At 39.6% G+C, this 21,113-nt stretch overlaps 1 protein-coding gene across 1 annotated transcript; it reads left to right on the top strand.

Moving 5' to 3' along the window:
• The first annotated feature begins 2,356 nt into the window (after positions 1 to 2,356).
• Positions 2,357 to 3,411, top strand: SPANXC (SPANX family member C). Its single transcript, NM_022661.4, has 2 exons — positions 2,357 to 2,488; positions 3,136 to 3,411. The coding sequence occupies exons 1-2, from the start codon at positions 2,417 to 2,419 to the stop codon at positions 3,355 to 3,357; spliced, it is 294 nt and encodes a 97-aa protein (NP_073152.2). The 5' UTR covers positions 2,357 to 2,416; the 3' UTR covers positions 3,358 to 3,411.
• Positions 3,412 to 21,113: the final 17,702 nt, after the last annotated feature.

Genomic DNA, 21,113 nt, shown 5'->3' with positions numbered 1-21,113 from the left:
CATATAAGTTTTTTCTTTTTTTCTCTTGTGTTCTGTTTGTTGTGGCCTCATGCTAAAAATGTTTTTTTTTCTTTTTCTTTTTTTTTTTTGAGGTGGGGTCTCACTCAGTCACCCAGGCTGAGAGTGCAGTGGCACAATCTTGGCTCACTGCAACCTCCCCCTTCCAGGTTCAAGCAATTCTCCTGCCACCACGCCCGGCTAATTTTTGTATTTGTAGTAGAGACAGGGTTTCACCGTGTTGCCAGGCTGGTCTCGAACTTCTGACCTCAAGTGATCCACCTGCTTCAGCCTCCCAAAGTGCTAGGATTACAGGCATGAGCCACTATGACAGGCCAAAAATTTTTTCTTCAAGGTCTAAAAAAGTGTTTTCTTCCATCTGTGTAACTTTCTGTATGTGCTTTTAAAGTCCTTGTGCCATTGAGCTATAGGGCTTTGACTTCTGGGTCTAAAAAGGACACCAAGTTCTGCTATATCTTAAACACTGACATCAATTACAGCCTCATCTTCAGGCCCAGTAGAAGATGCTAATCAAAGTAAACTGCGTTCATGAGATGCAGGGTCAGAAATTAAAACTATTCAACTCCTCAAGGCCCAAGGACTATCGTGGAACAGGTGGGCATGTGAGATTGTAAGGGCTGATATTAAGAGAAAAGTAGCTCAGTTTCTCTAGGAATTAACCATTAATATCAAAGGCACACTAAAGCAAAACCAGTATCTAGGTTGCTGTGTCAGTTTAACAAGGCTTTCTTGGAGCATTAACTCACTCCTTAATGCAAAATGATAAAGGTTACAAGGTTTATAGAAATTATATTTTATACTCAAGATGATTAAACTTTTATTATAAAATTTCAAAAAAACAAATTTCATTTGCCGCATCCTGTTTTTAATTAGGGCTTATTGTTTGGGATATTAAGCCTCCTCTCTCAAAGAATAAAGATTTTCACCTTTTTTTTTTCTTTTTTGAAATCTTTGAGTTACTGCTTTGGTTAAATGAATGACTTATTTTACAATGACCCATGACCCTATTTCGTGATATCAAGCATTTTAAACTTTTTATCTTTGACGAACTTTCCAAAGTCAAATTCTAACTTGATTCCTCATTAATTTTTTGATATGAGTCCTCTGAAGTCCAAAAGAGACATATTGGTCTTATTTGGTATAAAAATCATACAAGAAGCATCGTCAAATATAAAATGCTGTTTGACTTTCTTTGGGCTGTATTTATAGAAATGTCATTGATATGTGCTCCAAAATTATGGGAAACTCTTATACTTCTGAAATAACTTGTGTATGTTATTAATTATAACTTTTATGTTAAATTCTTGTATGCTACAGAAGTAACCAAAATTTACTTGTCAATGGTGGTTTTAATAATGGCTGTCCTGGCTGGGTGTGGTGGCTCACGCCTGTAATCCCAGCACTTTGGAGGCCAAGGCGGGTGGATCACGAGGTCAGGAGTTCAAGACCAGCTTGGCCAAGATGGTGAGACCCCCGTCTCTCCTAAAAATACAAAAATTAGCCGGGCGTGGTGGCACAGGCCTGTAATCCCAGCTACTCAGGAAGCTGAGCCAGAGAATCACTTAAACCCAGGAGGCAGAGGTTGCAGTGAGCTGAGATCATGCCATTGCACTCCAGCCTGGGCAACAACAGTGAAACTCCATTTCAAAAAGAGAAAAAAATATACACCCCTGATTTGAAACAAGACTAGGATACACGGTAAAGAATGTTTATTCACTAAAGTTTTGACAGACTGAAGGCCATTATTTCAGATTGGAGATAGGAAACTTAAAAGAACTACATGGACATTGGGTAAAAGAACATGGGTTGAAATTTGCCTGGCAGTAGCCCAAAAGTAAATGGTCTTCGAGGTGCATGTGAAGGAACTGTAGGAGGGAAATGGGATAATTCACATCTCTGCCAATAAATAAATGTAGCCACACTAGCTTGGGGGATTTGAGGTGAGACATCGAAAATACTAAGTCATGGTGAGGGCTGGAAGACAAAAGAATGAATCACTTAATAGGAATGGCTGTGGGGAAGGGCTTGAAGGAATCATCCTCTGACTTCCATGTGAACCGTGAACATTAAACATGGAGAAATGAGGAGCGGCGGCAGATCGGTTTGGGATGCATCTTCAGGGGATGCTGAAACAACAACAGCATTTGGTTTGCTCTACACCCCTGTCACCCCTCGCCCGCAAGCCCAGGGAGTGGTCAGCAGTGGGGCTTTGTGATGTGAAGCCACCCTAGGGCTGCCATTGGCTGGGACACTGCCTGTATGATCAAACAAAGCTCAAGGGTGTGGCTTTGCCTTGTCACCAGGAGGGTATATACAGGGAGGGCAAGAGCTCCGGGCCACTGCGAAGATTCAAAACCTACAAAAGCCTGCCGCTGACATTGAAGAACCAATATATACAATGGACAAACAATCCAGTGCCGGCGGGGTGAAGAGGAGCGTCCCCTGTGATTCCAACGAGGCCAACGAGATGGTAAGACTGTTAGGTTTTGAATTGAAGGCGAGGGTGAAAGAAAGACACACAGAGCGGGGGCGGCTCAAACAACAACACAGGAATATTGCAGACCATTGTGGAAGTGGGGGGCCCGCTTAATGCCAGAGCCCACCGCCGCTTACAGGCTGGGGTGCTTGTAGGTAGGGGTGGGAGGGGCCTGGGCAGTATGGCTTGCTGCCCGGCAGGATATTGATAAGATGTTCTTATGATCAGGTGGTTTGGCCCTTTTTCTGGTGGAATATCATTGTGGTGTTCCTTAGAACGCTGCCAAGCAAGATATGATAGGGATGTTTCTTCAGTTGGGCCTTTGTCCGCCTTGCGGACAGGTGGTTAGGCAGGATGTTTCTCACGGCCTGAACCCCCATGGGATGTTTCACTTTGACCAAGGTCTGCAAAATAGCAAAGAACTGACAAAATGGTGCAGTTTGGACTCACAGGTGACCCTACCCACGCTCCTCTTCTTCTTCCCCATAGATCCCTACTCTGTGCTTCAACCTTCTTCTTCTCTGGATCAAACCCCTTCCTCAACCCGCATTCCTTCTTCTCATGAAGCCCCCTTGCTATCCAGTCTCTATCCTGTTCACCCAAAATAATGTCCTCCTGGCCTCTCCCTGCTTTCTTAACAGATGCCGGAGACCTCGAGTGGGTACTCAGACCCGCAACCTGCTCCGAAAAAACTAAAAACATCTGAGTCCTCGACCATACTAGTGGTTCGCTACAGGAGGAACGTGAAAAGAACATCTCCAGAGGAACTGGTGAATGACCACGCCCGAGAGAACAGAATCAACCCCCTCCAAATGGAGGAGGAGGAATTCATGGAAATAATGGTTGAAATACCTGCAAAGTAGCAAGAAGCTACATCTCTCAACCTTGGGCAATGAAAATAAAGTTTGAGAAGCTGATGGCTGTGTATATCTCTGCCTGTTTTCTGATGGTGGCGGGGGAAGGGAAGGGAAGGGAAGAGGTAGGCATTTGAGAAGGGAGGGATATGAGGTCCTGTAGGGTTGGTGGACAGACCCACAGGTTGACAGTAAGCCAGACATTGTAAATAAGGCCTGGGGGAGGACTGATTCCTAAAGAAAATTTTCTTCTTAAAATTTTATCTCACAGGAAGTGGAGATGTGTATATGTTCACGCAACTGTACCCGGCAGCACATAGTTCTGCTGAATGTACATATCAAAGGTATTCCCATCCCCTTTCCATTTGATATTTTCCTAGGCTAGAAATAGATGCTTTATAAAGCGTAAATGTTCTGTAAAACACAAAGCACAATACAAAAGAAGATAGTAGATGTAGGAGTAAGTAAACGGCAGGAAAGCATTGCTTGTGATGAAATGATTGAAAAGCCAATTCTAAAACAAAATGTTCAATGCATCTTAAATATTTGTTAGTGTTTTAATGACCTCAGCAGTCTTTAATCAAGATAAGTATGCTTTAGAAATGTGTTGATATCCGCAAAGTGTGAATATTCAAAATCGCCATGACTTGGGAAAAGGAAAGTAAAACACTCTTAAGTATGAGGAGCTTTTTCCCATGGAATGTGAACTGCAAGGTGGTGAGAAGGGTTAGGTGTGATGTGGTGAGATCATTTTTAGGAGAGTGTGTCTATTATCGGCTTCCTAACACTTCCATTTTGCATGATAATTTCCTGAAAGTCATCATTTAATTAAGGCTATAGATTTTGATTACCATGTGTCTTAAAATGTCAAACAATATAATATTTATACTGAAAAAGAAAACTGCTTGGTGGATACACATCGGTTAGCGGGAAAAGACACCACAGGGATTCACCATGGAGTCACCCGTGGATGGGGTTTTAGTTTCTGTCTTTGAATTGACCTTCACATAGTGTCTACCTCTTGAGAGTTCAGGGGATGTTGGAGAGATCATTAGGTAAAACAAGAAGGTCTTCTCAGGATACATGAGGGAGTTAAATAGAAATGCAGGAGCAATTACAGTTTTAGTTATTTGTAACTGTTGTTTGCTAAGTCATAACACTGTCATGGATAACATGAAAAAATAAAATATACTAAATATCAATAGACAAAAACCAGTTTGCTTTTCTCCAACCAAATACCTAAATACCTAGCACTGATTTCCAGAACAAAATCCCCCACGTACCATCTTTGGAATAAAAGAATATTCTTTCAAGTTGTCGGACCACAAGGTAAAAACAAAAAATCCCAATGCTTTTTTTCTTACTCTTTGATCTGTACAATTGAAGGTATTCCTCATTGCAAACTACTATTTCCACCCAGCACGAGACATTAAAGAATTTTTCATATTTAGGATAGTAATACGGGATCACATTCTTTAGCCTTAGGCATTGCAGAGGAAAAACAAACAAACAAAACCAAACCAAAACTAAGCTGAGAGAGGCGGAGCAAGAAAAGCAGAATAGAAGGCCGCCCAGATCAGCCCCCTCGCAAGGACACAAATTTAACAACGATCCACACAGTAGAAAACACCTCCATAAGAACCCAAAATCAGGGGAACTCTCATAGTACCTGGCGGTATCACTGAAAGAGGCACTGAAGAGTTAGAAGAAACAGTCTTAAATCGCTGACCCCGCCCCTTCCCTATCCTAGGCAGTGGCAGTATGGTGTAAAGAGCATCTCTGGAAGCTGGACGAGCAAGAGCAGAGCAGTTGTGGGTCACTGACCTCGGTGCTGTCTCTTACAGGAGAAAGGAAAACCAGAGCAAACTTAGCTGACTCCCATCTGGGAAGGGAGCATTGAAACCACCTCTAGCCAGAGGGAAATTACCCATCCCAGGAATCAGAACTTGAGTTTCTGCAAACCTTGCCACCAAGGGCTAAGAAACGGTTCCAGGTTTCTCAGACAACCTTAAAGGCAGTCTAGGCCATAAGATCTCTAACTCGTAGGTGAGTTCTAGCATAGAATTGGGCCCAGAGGCAGTGGATTGTGGCGGGTATGTGGAGGGGTGCACATGACCTCCTGAGATACCAGCTGGGGCAGCCAAGTGAGTGCTGGTGTCACCCCTGCCCTAGCCCCAGACTGCCCAGCTAGCGGCTCCATAAAAGACCCCCTCCTTCCACTTGAGGAGATGGAATAGTGAGGAGCGTTTTTTTTTTTCTTGCATCTTGAATACCAGCTCAACTACAGCGGGACAGGGCACCGGTCGGGGTTGTGAAGCCCCTGCTCCAGGCACTCGCTCCTGGATAACATTTCTAGACACACCCTAGGCCAGAAAGAAACCTGCTGCCTTGAAAGAAATGAAAAGAGAACACCTATACACTGTTTATGGGAATGTAACTTAGTTCAGCCATTGTAGAAAGCAGTTTGGTGATTTCTGCAAGAACTTAGAAATACCATTCATCTCAGCAATCACATTACTGGATATATACCCAAACGATATATATCATTCTACCATTAAGACATACGCATGCGTATGTTCTTGACAGCACTATTCACAATAGCAAAGATATTGAATCAACCTAAAGGCCCATCAGCAGCAGACTGGATAAAGACAATGTGGTACATAAACAGCACGGAATACTATGCAGCCATAAAAAAACGAGATCATGTCTTTTGCAGCAACATGGATGGAGCTGGAGGCCATTACTCTAAGCGAACTCACGTGGGAACAGAAAATGGAATACCACCTTTTTCCATTTATAAGCAAGAGCTAAACATCAGTACGCATGGACACAAAGAAGGGAACAACAGACACCCGTGTCTACTTGGGGGTAAAGGATGGGGAGGAGGGTGAGGGTTGAAAAGCTACCTATCAGCTATTATGCTGATTACCTGGGTGATGAAATAATGTGTACACCAAACCCGTGTGACACGCAACTTCCCTATATAACGAGCCTGCACATGTACCCCTGAACCTAACATAAAAGTTAACAAAAATTTAAAAATAAAATAATAAAAAATTAAGAAGTCTCACAGAGGTAGAGCGTAGAATGGTGGTGACTAGGGGCTCGGTGGTGGTGGCTGGAAAGACATTGCTCAAAGGATACCAAATTTCTGTTAGACTGAAGGAATAAGCTGCAGAGATACATTGTACGACACGGTGACTACAGGTGATCATAATATGTTGTATTATTGATGAATGCTAAGAGAGTAGATGGTAAGTGTTCTCAATACAAAATGATAACTTTGTGGGATGATGCATATGTTAATTAGCTATATTTATTCATTCTACAATGTATATACTTCAAACATTAGATACATGATAGACACATTCCATTTTATCTGTTCAGTTTAAAATAATAAAAATAAAGAAGAAAGACATGTCCAAGTGTTCTGCCTGGGAAGATGGGCCTGAGAGAGTCTTACATAGTTAATCACGTACTATGTTTTTCTGTGCAGGACAGCAGAGGGAGTGGGGCTACCTGAGAGCAGCACATAGTCAGTAAATGGCCTATAACAGCTCTACTTCCTTTCTTGAAGAATCAGAATGGTGAAAGAAACCAGTTTAATGTTTCTCATGCCCCTAAGAAGGACACTAAAGTGTTTTAAAGAGAGTTGGATCTGAAGGTGCCCTGTGGTTGGGCTTGAGGGATGACATGAAAATGTTCTGCATGAATCAGCCATTTAGGGCCAGATGGGATGATACGCATCTCAGGAGATGTTCGATGGATACAACATTGGGAAATTCTGAGATTCTGAATTGATTAAGTGTGAGACTCATGCATATTAAGTGCAATTACATAAAATGGCATTGCATTTCTCATTCGGCCAAGCATTGTAACCAGGTATATTCATGTGCCAGCTATTTCAATAAAAAGTGGTATCTCTCACAACCATTTGCATTCCAATACAATTTTCTGAATGTAAGAGAAAGAGATATAGTTATAACCAAGGTGTTCATCAATGAGAATAGTTTGCATCTCATCTTCTCTATTCTGCAGAAAGGCCCTTGAAGAGCATATTGCATCATTTTCTTCATGGCCAAGAAAATCAAGAATCACTGATCTGGCCAGGTGCAGTGGCTCATGCCTGTCATCCCAGCACTTTGGGAGGCAGAGGCGGGCGGATCACCCGAGGTCAGGAGTTTGAGGCGAGCCTGGCCAACATGGTGAAACCCTGTCTCTGCTAAAATACAAAAAAAAATTAGCTGGGCGTGGTGGTGGGCGCCTGTAATCCAAGCTACTGGGGAGGCTGAGGCAGGAGAATTGCTTGAATCCAGGCAGTGGAGGTTGCAGTGAGCCGAGATCGTGCCACTGCACTCCGGCTTGGGTGACAGAGCCAGACTCTGTCTCAAAACAACAAAAACAAAAACAAGAAATCACCGATCCATTTGAAAGTCAGAAAATATTTTGTCATTGACTAAATGTAGACCCTAGAGAGTGATCCCCATACACCACACTACAACTTAAGACTGATTCTATTTCTTAAGCATCCTTTGGAGGTCATCACGTTTTTGAACTCTTGTAATAACAGGGGACTTCAACGCATTTCAGACAGCAAACCTCGTCCTGTGTTATCCTATGCTCTGGGAGGAATCTCAAAGACAAGGAAGTAAGGAAGAAAGAAAGGAAGGAAGGGAGGGAGGAAGGAAGGGAGGGAGGGAAGGAGGGAGGGAGGGAGGGAGGAAAGGAGAAGAGGAGAGAAGAGAGGAGACGATCTCTAAACCTAAACTGGTAGAAAGCTTCACAAGTCTGAATACTTAACAAGTTAAATTAAGTAGCTAAAGATGTTTTTGAAAATCATCTGAGCAAACAAAAAATGATTCTGAAAAATATTTGGTAATGTAATAATGACAATGGGTTATTTCTTCTATCCTTGATCTCCTACAGTATATTTTAAGCCAGATCATGTTTTTCCTTTGATGAAAACTCCAGACTTTTCATCTTGATTAAAATAAAATCCAAATTCCTAATAAGGCCGTACATGATGTGGGCACCTATTACCTCTCTGACATTAATACTTATTCTTCTCGTGAATCACTCTGCTTCTATCACACTCCCCAATCTGTGACTCTTGTAACTCACCACGCATGTGATTCCTCTAACCTGCCATCCATATCAGGGTCTTTGCATACTTCTGCCTGGAAGGTTCTTCTCTAAAATATCCACTATGTATCCTAATTTTCTTTTCTTTTCTTCTTCTTTCCTTCTTTCTTTTTCCTTTTTTTTTTTTTTTTTTTTTTTTTTTTTTTTTTTTTGAGATGGAGCCTTGCTTTGTCAGCTAGCCTGGAGTGCAGTGGTGCACTCTCGGCTCTCTGCAACCTCCACCTCCTGGTTTCAAGCAATTCTCCTGCCTCAGCCTCCTGAGTAGCTGAGATTACAGGCGCCTGCTACCACGCCTGGCTAATGTTTGTAGTTTTAGTATAGATGGGGTTTCATTGGTTGGCCAGGCTGGTCTTGAACTCCTGACCTCGTGATCCGCCTGCCTTCGCCTCCCAAAGTGCTGAGATTACAATCGTGAGCCACCACGCCCGGCCTGTGTATCCGAATTTTCTTCAGGTCACTAGTCAGAAGTCACTTTATTGGAAAGGCTATCCTCCATTTAATGGTGAAGACGTTAAATGGTACTTGTACTTCTTTCAAAAAAAATGATACTTTTATCAGTTATTTTACTACAGTACCTGGAACATGTAAACTTGCAAGAAATATTTGGTGAATGAATGCATGTTAATCTGAATTTAGTATTGCAGTCTTCATTACCAGAAAGCATTTACATGTTTTAACTGTCAGGGAGCAACACTGGTAAGTGATTAATTCCCTATCCATAAAATGGATAGAGTACTATTCATGCTACATGTTCTCACAGTTGTGGCAAGGGTTATTAAATTGCCAACTGTAGTACTAAACTTATATTAATGTTGTACTCGTTAGTATTACTCTTGTTATGTTCAGAGGAAATATGGAATAAAAGTAAGATCATGGGCCTGGTTCAAATCTGAAATTCTGCTACATCCTAGTTGGGTGATGGTCTCGGCTCACTGCAACCTCTGCCTCCTGGGTTCAAGCGATTCTCCTGTCTCAGCCTGCCAAGTAGCTGGGACTACAGGCGTTTGCCTTCGCACCTGGCTGATTTTTGTATTTTTAGTAGAGACAGGGTTTCACTATGTTGGCCCAGCTGGTCTCAGAACTCCTGACCTCAAGATCCGCCCACCTCGGCCTCCCAAAGTGCTGGGATTACAGGCGTGAGCCACCGTGCCCAGCCGCGTTTATGTTTTTCTCTTCATAAATTTTGTTTTCCTGGAAAAGGTTTTTTCCTGATCGACTAAATTACTTTTCTCCACTCTGTCTTGCCACTCTTGGTGCATGTATGAAAGACCCTGAAACGACTCCTGGTGGCCTGGGACTCCTTGGGAAAACAAAAAAGGTGCCACAAATCCCGTTTTGGGAAAAACCTCTGTTTTCCTTATGAAACCCCTAGACTTAAATAAGTACCTCTCAAAGATCTGTCTTTGTCTTCCAACTGTACTTGTTCATTAGGCCCTAGAAACTGTTTTCTTAGCCCTGTTCTTAAAAGGCCTCACCCGAAGGCCAATAATCCAATTGGAAAATTAGCAGAAAAAAAATCTCATAACTACTCAATCTTCTTCTGATTGTCTGTGTGGCTATATATGTTTTATGTGTGTGATGTCTATTAAAAGAACTCTAATTAACTGGCCAAAAAAATAAGCACTTAAATCAAATATTTTTAAGGGAAAAGTAAAAGCTGTGGGACCTTTCAGTTCTCGTAATTTTAATCTTTAGAACTTACTGGTACAGCAAAGTTAAAAGTTGAGTTGAAAGTCGTTAAGAGTTGCCAGCGTACGTTTTTATTTGCATTTATTAATCAAGCAATTTCATACTTATGGCTGCAAAATACTATAAGGTGTCAACATTTGGCACAGAGGCTACAAAAGGACAACTCAGCCCAAACAAAATAATCTTTGCTTGTGTAATTTTTTCAATAAATAAAGCATGAATACTGGTTTAACGAAGATAGCTATATCTTTAACTATTTAGTAAAATATGCTAACTTCCAACCTTGTGGCCTTAGGCAGTCTAGTCCACAGACATGAAGGAAATTTGTTTTGGGAAAGAACTGTTATCTTTAATATTAAAGAAAAGATAATTGGCATAAGAAAGAATCTCACATGGTAAATTTTTGTCCTAAAGTAAATTAACTGTTGTTTAAAAAAAGGGATGACTTTACAACAAGTCAGAAAGGTAAGGCATGTCAGAAATTGTCTGTGAAAGTCCTGAAGAATTTTATAAAAGGGAATTTGTGCAAGAAATGTCGCACAATTTAAAAGTAATTCGGCCTCCTCAATGCCGTATACAATTTCACTCTAACTCTTAGCTGTACAGCTTGCCTGCTTTGCAGCTGAATAAACCCTAGGACACATGGAGTTAAATGCTGGAATAAGCCAGACCTTCTCCGCACTTCCGTCTGGGTCCTAGGCCCTACACCTAGTGCGTAATTAGATTCCCAGACTTACCAAGGTTTTCATCAAAAGTAAAGGTTGCTAAAAGTTAGCAGTGTAACACGTATTTAAAACTACCGAAGAAATAGTTTATGAGCAAGGTGTGTAAGGAAAGTAAAATATACTTTTGGTAAAAAGATTATAAGGAGGCCTAAGAATGTGGATTTTTGCCTACATTAAAAGGTTAAAAAATTGTTTTAAAGGTTTAAGCAACTTTTGGAAGGTTAATTGTAAAGAAAATTTCGTGTGTGTACATACTGGCTAAAGTTAAAGGGGTATCATTCAGGTTTTCTGTAAATCGAGCATTAAAATAAAAGCACAACGGGTTTCTGTTAAAGCACTAACCTGCTCTTTAACAAAAAGTATAAACGGTTAAAAAGGGTCTATAAAAACCTTACCTTCTGGTCAAACATGAACATTGGGTAAATGCGTCTACAAGGTTTTATGAAAAATGGAGCTTAACATTAATAGCACACTAATACAATGGTAAAATTTGGCTTATTTGATATAAAATCATACAGGAAGCATTGTCAAATATAAAATGGTATTTGGCTTTCTTTGGGCTATAGTTGTATAAATATGCTATTGGGATGTGTTCCAAAGTTATGGCAGATTCCTATCATTCTAATATATCTTAGTGTACGTTATCACTAATAATTATAATTGTTTTGTTAAAATTATTGTGTGCCACAGAGGTAACGGATATCTTTGTCAACTGTGTCTTTAACTATGGCTACCCTAAAACTTTCTGTCATCCATAAACAATTGTTGTCTTGTTTTAGTCCTCTTCAAAGGGTGGTTTTCTAATCAGCTATAAAGCTCTGAATGCAGGTTTCTGATAAAAAGCAGGACAGGAATTAACTGCATAAATCAAACTAATAGGAAACTAATCTGTTTAACCTTTTGCTTAAAATATTGCTAACCCTTTGTTTTGCCTTTCAAAGTCAAAGAAACTTTTTTTAAGCGATTAACAGCTTTTAACTGTTAACTGTTAACCGCTAACTCCCATATGTATGAGAGTTAACTGTTCACTTTTCACTGTTTAACTTTTAACTGTTAACTCCCATCAACAAAATTTGGAGGATACTTGTTTCTCTCTACCTTATTCTCTCCAAAATTTGGAAACTATCTATGAGTATTCTTAACTTATGGCAATATAGTTATTTGCATAAATACAACAAGAATCTGTTTTCTTTTGTAACGGGACACGATTGGAAAAACTGGTTATTCTTACCAAGGCTTTGACTGGAATGGTGTGCTTTTCCTTTAAGGAATCCAGCTTTAACTTATAAAGCCAATAAAGCCCTTGAAAAACTGGCCTCATATTTTGTGTACACAGTCCCCGTACAGGGTTTGTGATCTGTGGTAAACAGAACATGTCACTTTCTAACAGGCCAGGAACCCTAAGTTATCTTGAAACATCAAGAGGAGAGGAATTCACCCAAGTCATAGGTATTTAATGGTACAAATCCATGGCTGGGCTTGGCTTTAAAAAGTCTTTTATCTCAGATTGCTTCTACAAAACCAAATTCCACCAAAGCCCATTTAAAAGGCCTATGTAACAAATAATTATTCTTGCAGCACTGTATGCAAATAAGTAAGCCAAGTATCCTAAAGCAAACCTACCATAATTTGTCTTTTAATAAAAATGGGAAAGTGGAGAGAGGAAATTATGTTTCCAAAACTATGACACCCCTCTTGTTAAATTCTAGAGTTGCCTGATGTTTTTCAGTTATTATTTGCTACTGTTTAATTAAATTCTAATTTTTCTGACTACAAGACTTCAAAATAAGCTGTGCTTTCTTAAAGCCCTATAAACTGGAAACTAGATGTTTCAGCAGGCACTGCCTCTAAGCCCCCTAACCCTCACAGGAGCAAATAAAGAAATAGGAAATCGTAAGCTAAAAATCATAAAAAATAAATAACCGAGAAAGAATTGCTCGTCTTACTCAGTCTCACCCCTACCTCACCAAACACTTTTGTCATTCCTATCTCTCCTTTCAAGCCAAATATTACAACTTTTTAATGGAAATTATTGACTACACCACCCTTGTGGAAACTGCTTTACTCACCCTACTATTTGCAGTAAAACTATATACTGTAGCACCCTCAGGGTAAAATGTCAGACAAAAACAATCTCAATTACTGTAGCATTTTGCTTAATTATTAGCCTCTTAGCAGGAATAACGCTTACTAACAGAAACTAACACATGGGCCTTTCCAAACATGTGCTTCTACCTCTCATTAGGTAAGGAATATTGTTTCTTTATCAACCAATCAGGCCTAGTTAAAAAACGCTGCTAAAACAAACATAAAGAAAAGGCTAAAAAGCTAAGGGAGTACCAAAACAACCAAATAAGTTCTTGGTTTGGGAACACAATCATAGCATGGGTCATCCTATTTCTGGGCCCTCTCCTAACAATATGCCTGGGACTAATTTTCTTACCCTGCCTAATTAACCTTTCTCGGAAAATTTTAACTAACAGGATCACGGCCATTTCACAGACAACTACCCAAAAACATCTACAGACGGCATTGCTCCTACTGTCAACCCAAAAAACTCTCCGTCCCCTCGTCAGCAGGAAGTAATTTTCATTTCAGGGAGATCTTCCAATTTATTGACATACAGTTTCCCACGGTCACCACAAGAGCCCTTTGAATTTTTGCAGCTTTAGCCTGTAATGTCTCCTTTCAATTTTGGAGTTTATTTATCTCGATCTCTCCTTTTTCTTCCTTAGATTGGCTACAGGTTTCTCAATTTTGTATAGCTTTTTAAAAAAAACCCAACTTTTTGTTTCCTTGATAGTGTTTTGACTTTCTTCATTTTACTTTCATTTATTTCTGCTCTGGTCTTTCATTATTTCTTTTCTTCTACTGATTTGGGGTTCACTTTGAGCTTATTTTTCTGTTTTTTTAAGATGCGTCATGAATTATTTGCAGGTGTTCCTCTTTTTCAATGTAGGCACTTATAGCTATAAACTTCCCTCTTAATACTGCTTTTGCTGTATCCCATGGGTTTTGGTATGTTGTGTTTCCATGATCATTTATTTTGAGAAATTTTACAATTTAGTTTTTAATTTCTTCATTGACCTGTGGGTCATTCAGGAGCATTTTTTTTTTTTTAATTCTATGGATTTGTATAATTTTCAAAGTTCCCCTTGTTATTTTCGGGATTTTCTTTTTTTGTTTTTTGGTGGTCAGAGAAGAAGCTTGAAATTATTTCAATTTATTTGAATGTTGATGTTTTAAGACTTGTTTTATGACCTAACATATATTCTAACCTTGAGAATGATCCACGTGCTGGGTAAAAGAAGGTGTATTTTGCAGTCCTTGGAAGAAGTGTTTTGTAAATGTCTGTTACATCCATTTGGTCTGTAATGTACATTAAGTGTGATGTTTCTGTGTTGATTTTATGTCTGGAAGAACTGTCCAATGCTGAAAGTAGGGTGTTGAAGCCCCCAGCCATTATGCTATTGGGACCTATCTCTCCCATTAGTTGTAATAGTGTTTCCTTTATATACCTTGGTGCTACAGGGTTGGGTGCACATATATGTAAAGTTCTTATAGCCTTTTGTTGAACTGATCCCTTCATTATTATATAGTGACTTTTTTTCCTCTTACATTTTGTGTCTTGAAATCTATTTTGTTTGCTAGGAATATAGCTAATCCTGCTTCTTTTTGGTTCCATTCGCATGGAGCATCTCTTTCTATCCCTTTATTTTCAGTCTATGTGTGTCTTCAGAAGTGAAGTGTGTTTCTGGCAGGCAACAGATCAATGTGTCTTGTTTTTTCATACATTCAGCCAGTCTATGTCTTTTCATGGAAGAGTTTAGCCCATTTACATTCAATGTTACTATTGATAAGTAGGAACTTACTCCTGTCATTTTGATTTTTATGTTCAGATGTTTTTGTGATCTTATCTTCCTTCTTTCTTTCCTTTCTGTCTTTTCTTAGGATGATTTTTCTGTGGGTAGATGATTTAGTTCCTTGCCTTCGAATTTTTGTGTATATATTGCATGTTCTTTAGTTTCAGGTTACCTTGAGGCTTGCAAATAATATCTTATAAACCATTATTTTTAATCTGATATTTACTTAAGACGATTTTGACAAACAAACAGCAAACAAAAATAAAACTAATAAAGCTGCATCTTAACTTTGTCCCACTGCTTTCTAATTTTTTGTCATTTCTTTCTGTATCTCATTGTGTTGACTGTGTCTTGAAAAGTTGTGCTTTTCCATTTTGATTGGTTTATCCTTTAGGCTTTCTACTTAGAATAAGAGCGCTTTACACACTACAGTTACTTTTTTAAAATATTCTGTTTTTCTGTGTACTTACAATGACCACTGAGTTTTGTACCTTCAGTTGATTACTTATTGTTCAGTTGATTACTTATTGTTCAGTACCATCCTTTTCTTTCTGATTGAAATACTCCTTGTAACATTTCTTGTAGGACAGGGCTAGTGATGATGAAATCCCTCAGGTTTTGATTCTCTGGGCCCATTTTTATTTCTCCTTCATGTTTGAAGGATAGTTGTTTCAGATATATCATTCTAAGGTTAAAATTTTTTTCTTTCAGCACTTTAAATATGTCATGCCACTCTCTCCGGGCCTGTAAGGTTTCCACTGAAAAGTCTGCTGCCAGACATATTGGAGCTCCATTGGATGTTATTTGTTTCTCTTCTCTTGCTGCTTTAAGAAAAGTTCTTTATCCTTGATTTTTGGGAGTTTCATTAATGAATAACTTGAAGCACCCTTCTTTCAGTTAAGTCTCCTTGGTGTTCTATAACATACTTGTACTTGGATATGTGTCTCTTTCTCTAGGTTTGGGAAGTTCTCTATTATAATCTCTTTGGAGAAACTTTCTACTCATATGTGTTTCTGTACCTCCTCCTTAAGGCCAATAACTCTTAGATTTGTCCTTTTGAAGCTATCTTCTAGATCCTGTAGACATGCTTCATTGCTTTCTACTCGGTTTTTCTTTTGTCTTTTCTGACAAAAGACCATTTTCAAATAGCCTTTCTTCAAGCTTATTAATACCATCTTCTGTTGATTGATTCTGCTATTAACAGAATTTGAGAGATTCTGCAGCCTATCACTTGCATTTTTCAGCTCTACAATCTCTGCTTGATTCATTTTCATTCTTTGAAACTTACTGTTAATTTTCTGTCTCGTTGATCTGTCTAATGTTGACAGTGGGTTGTTAAAGTCTCCCATTATTATTGTGTGGGAGTCTAGGTCCCTTTGTAGGTCTCTAAGGACTTCCTTTATGAATCTGGGTGCTCCTGTATTGGCTGCGTATATATTTAGGATAGTTAGCTCTTCTTGTTGAATTGATCCCTTTACCATTATGTAATGGCCTTCTTTGTCTCCTTTGATCTTTATTGGTTTAAAGTCTGTTTTATCAGACACTAGGATTGCAACCCCTGCCTTGTCTTGTTTTCCACTGGCTTGGTAGATCTTCCTCCATCCCTTTATTTTGAGCCTATGTGTGTCTCTGCACGTGAGATGGGTTTCCTGAATACAGCACACTGATGGGTTGTGACTCTTTATCCAATTTGCCACTCTGTGTCTTTTAATTGGAGCATTTAGCCCATTTACATTTAAGGTTAATATTGTTATGTGTGAATTTGATCCTGTCATTGTGATGTTAGCTGGTTATTGTGCTCCTTAGTTGATGCAGTTTCTTCCTAGCTTCGATGGTCTTTACAGTTTGGCATGTTTTTGCAGTGGCTGGTACCAGTTGTTCCTTTCCATGTTCAGTGCTTCCTTCAAGAGCTCTTTCAGGGCAGGCCTGGTGGTGACAAAATCTCTCAGCATTTGCTTGTCTATAAAGGATTTTATGTCTCCTTCACTTATGAAGCTTAGTTTGGCTGGATATGAAATTCTGGTGAAAATTCTTTACTTTAAGAATGTTGAATATTGGCCCCCACTCTCTTCTGGCTTGTAGAGTTCCTGCCGAGAGATCAGCTGTTAGTCTGATGGGCTTCCCTTTGTGGGTAACCCGACCTTTCTCTCTGGCTGCCCTTAACATGTTTTCCTTCATTTCAACTTTGGTGAATCTGACAATTATATGTCTTGGAGTTGCTCTTCTCGAGGAGTATCTTTGTGGCGTTCTCCGCATTTCCTGAATTTGAATGTCGGCGTGCCTTGCTAGATTGGGGAAGTTCTCCTGGATAATATCCTGCAGAGTGGTTTCCAGCTTGGTTCCATTCTCCCCATCACTTTCAGGTACACCAATCAGACGTAAATTTGCTCTTTTCACATAATCCCGTATTTCGAGGAGGCTTTGTTCATTTCTTTTTATTCTTCTTCTCTAAACTGCTCTTCTCGCTTCATTTCACTCATTTGATCTTCCATCACTGATACCCTTTCTTCCAGTTGATCGAATTGGCTACTGAGGCTTCTGCATTCGTCATGTAGTTCTTGTGCCTTGGTTTTCAGCTCCATCAGGTCCTTTAAGGACTTCTCGGCATTGGTTATTCTAGTTAGCCATTCATCCATTTTTTTTTTCAAGGATTTTAACTTCTCTGCCATTGGTTCGAACTTCCTCCTTTAGCTCGGAGTAGTCTGATCGTCTGAAGCATTCTTCCTTCAACTCGTCAAAGTCATTCTCCGTGCAGCTTTGTTCTGTTGCTGGTGAGGAGCAGCGTTCCTTTGGAGGAGGAGAGGCACTCTGATTTTCAGAGTTTCCAGTTTTTCTGCTCTGTTTTTTCCCCATCTTTGTGGTTTTATCTACCTTTGGTCTTTGATGATGGTGACGAACAGAAGGTGTTTGGGGGGGATGTCCTTTCTGTTTGTTAGTTTTCCTTCTGGAATTGAACTCAGCTCTGCAACAAGCAGACCGAATAGACATCTACAGAACTCTCCACCCCAAATCAACAGGATATACATTCTTCTCAGCACCACATCGCTCTTATTCCAAAATTGACCACATAGTTGGAAGTCAAGCACTCCTCAGCAAATGGAAAAGAACAGAAATTATAACAAACTGTCTCTCAGACCACAGTGCAATCAAACTAGAACTCAGGATTCAGAAACTCACTCAAAACCGCTCAACTACAGGGAATCTGAACAACCTGCTCCTGAATGACTACTGGGTACATAACGAAATGAAGTCAGAAATAAAGATGTTCTTTGAAATCAACGAGAACAAAGACACAACATACCAGAATCTCTGGAACACATTCAAAGCAGTGTGTAGAGGGAAATTTATAGCACTAAATGCCCACAAGAGAACGCAGGAAAGATCTAAAATTGACACCCTAACATCACAATTAAAAGCACTAGAGAAGCAACAGCAAACACATTCAAAAGCTAGCAGAAGGCAAGAAATAACTAAGATCAGAGCAGAACTGAAGGAAACAGACATACCAAAAACCCTTCAAAAAAAACCAATGAATCCAGGAGCTGGTTTTTTGAAAAGATCAACAAAATTCATAGACCACTGGCAAGACAAATAAGGAAGGAAAGAAAGAATCAAATAGACACAATAAAAAACAATAAAGGGGATATCACCACCGATCCCACAGAAATACAAACTACCATCAGAGAATACTATAAACACCTCTATGCAAATAAACTAGAAAATCTAGAAGAAATGGATAAATTCTTCGACACATACAACATCCCAAGACTAAACCAGGAAGTTGAATCTCTGAATAGACAAATCAAAGGATCTGAAATTCAGGCAATAATTAATAGCTTACCAACCAAAGAAAGTCCAGGACCAGATGGATTCACAACCGAATTCTACCAGAGGTAAAAGAAGGAGCTGGTACCATTCCTTCTGAAACGATCCCAATCAACAGAAAAACAGGGAATCCTCCCTAACTCATTTGATGAGGGCAGCATCATCCTGATACCAAAGCCTGGCAGAGACACAACAAAAAAAGAGAATTTTAGACCAGTATCCCTGATGAACATCGATGCAAAAATCCTCAATAAAATACTAGCAAACCGAATCCAACAGCACATCAAAAAGCTTATCCACCATGATCAAGCGGGCTTCATCCCACGGATGCAAGGCTGCTTCAACATACACAAATCAAGAAATGTAATCCAGCATATAAACAGAATCGACGACACAAACCATATGATTATCTCAATAGATGCAGAAAAGGCCTTGACAAAACTCAACAACGCTGCATGCTAAAAACTCTCAATAAATTAGGTATTGATGGGACGTATCTCAAAATAGTAACAGCTATCTATGACAAACCCACAGCCAATATCATACTGAATGGGCAAAAACCGGAAGCATTCCCTTTGAAAACTGGCACAAGACAGGGATGCCCTCTCTCACCACTCCTATTCAATATAGTGTTGGAAGTTCTGGCCAGGGCAATCGGGCAGGAGGAAGAAATAAAGGGTATTCAATTCGGAAAAGAGGAAGCCAAATCGTCCCTGTTTGCAGACGACATGATTGTATATCTAGAATACCCCATCGTCTCAGCCCAAAATCTCCTTAAGCTGATAGGCAACTTCAGCAAAGTCTCAGGATACAAAATCAATGTGCAAAAACCACAAGCATTCTTATAACACCAATAACAGACAAACAGAGATCCAAATCATGAGTGAACTCCCATTCACAATTGCTTCAAAGAGAATAAAATACCTAGGAATCCAACTTACAAGGGATGTGAAGGACCTCTTCAAGGAGAACTACAAACCACTGCTCAACGAAATAAAAGAGGATACAAACAAATGGAAGAACATTTCAAGTTCATGGGTAGGAAGAATCAATATCGTGAAAATGGCCATACTGCCCAAGGTAATTTACAGATTCAATGCCATCCCCATCAAGCTACCAATGACTTTCTTCACAGAACTGGGAAAAACTACTTTAAAGTTCATATGGCACCAAAAAAGAGCCCGCATCGCCAAGTCAATCCTAAGTCAAAAGAACAAAGCTGGAGGCATCACACTACCTGACTTCAAACTATACTACAAGGCTACAGTAACCAAAACAGCATGGTACTGGTACTAAAACAGAGATATAGACCAATGGAACAGAACAGAGCCCTCAGAAATAACGCCACATATCTACAACCATCTGATCTTTGACAAACCTGACAAAAACAAGAAATGGGGAAAGGATTCCCTATTTAATAAATGGTGCTGGGAAAAATGGCTAGCCATATGGAGAAAGCTGAAACTGGATCCCTTCCTTACACCTTATACAAAAATTAACTCAAGATGGATTAAAGACTTAAATGTAAGACCTGAAATCATAAAAACCCTAGAAGAAAACCTAGGCAATACCATTCAGGATATAGGCATGGGCAAAGACTTCATGACTAAAACACCAAAAGCAATGGCAACAAAAGCCAAAATTGACAAATGGGATCTAATTAAACTAAGGAGCTTCTGCATAGCAAAATAAACTATCATCAGTGAACAGGCAACCTACAAAATGGATGAAAATTTTTGCAATCTATCCATCTGACAAAGGGCTAATATCCAGAATCTACAAGGAACTTAAACAAATTCACAAGAAAAAAAAACAAACAACCCCATCAAAAAGTGGGCAAAGGATATGAACAGACACTTCTCAAAAGAAGATATTTATGCGGCCAACAAACATGAAAAAAAGCTCATCATCACTGGTCATTAGAGAATTGGAAATCAAAACCACAGTTAGATAACCTCTCATGCCAGTTAGAATGGCAATCATTAAAAAGTCAGGAAACAACAGATGCTGGAGAGGATGTGCAGAAATAGGAACACTTTTACACTGTTGGTGGGAGTGTAAATTAGTTTAACCATTGTGGAAGACAGTGTGGCTACTCCTTAAGGATCTAGAACCAGAAATATCATTTGACTCAGCAATCCCATTACTGGGTATATACCCAAAGGACAATAAATCATTCTACTATAAAGACACATGCACGCATATGTTTATTGCGGCACTATTCACAATAGCAAAGACTTGGGACCAACCCAAATTCCCATCGATGATAGGCTGGATAAAGAAAATGTGGCACATATACACCATGGAATACTATGCAGCCATAAAAAAGGATGAATTCATGTCCTTTGCAGGGACATGGATGAAGCTGGAAACCATCACTTGCAGCAAACTAACACAGGAACAAAACCAACCACTGCATGTTCTCACTCATAAGTGGGAGTTGAACAATGAGAACATATGGACAAGGGAGGGGAACATCACACACCAGGGCCTATTGGGGGTTGGGAGCTAGGAGAGG

This window comes from Homo sapiens, chromosome X (genome assembly GCF_000001405.40).
Source record: "Homo sapiens chromosome X, GRCh38.p14 Primary Assembly".
NCBI lineage: Eukaryota > Metazoa > Chordata > Mammalia > Primates > Hominidae > Homo > Homo sapiens.
The sequence above is the reverse complement of the archived record's forward strand: the minus strand, read 5'-3'. Positions and strand labels throughout refer to the sequence as shown.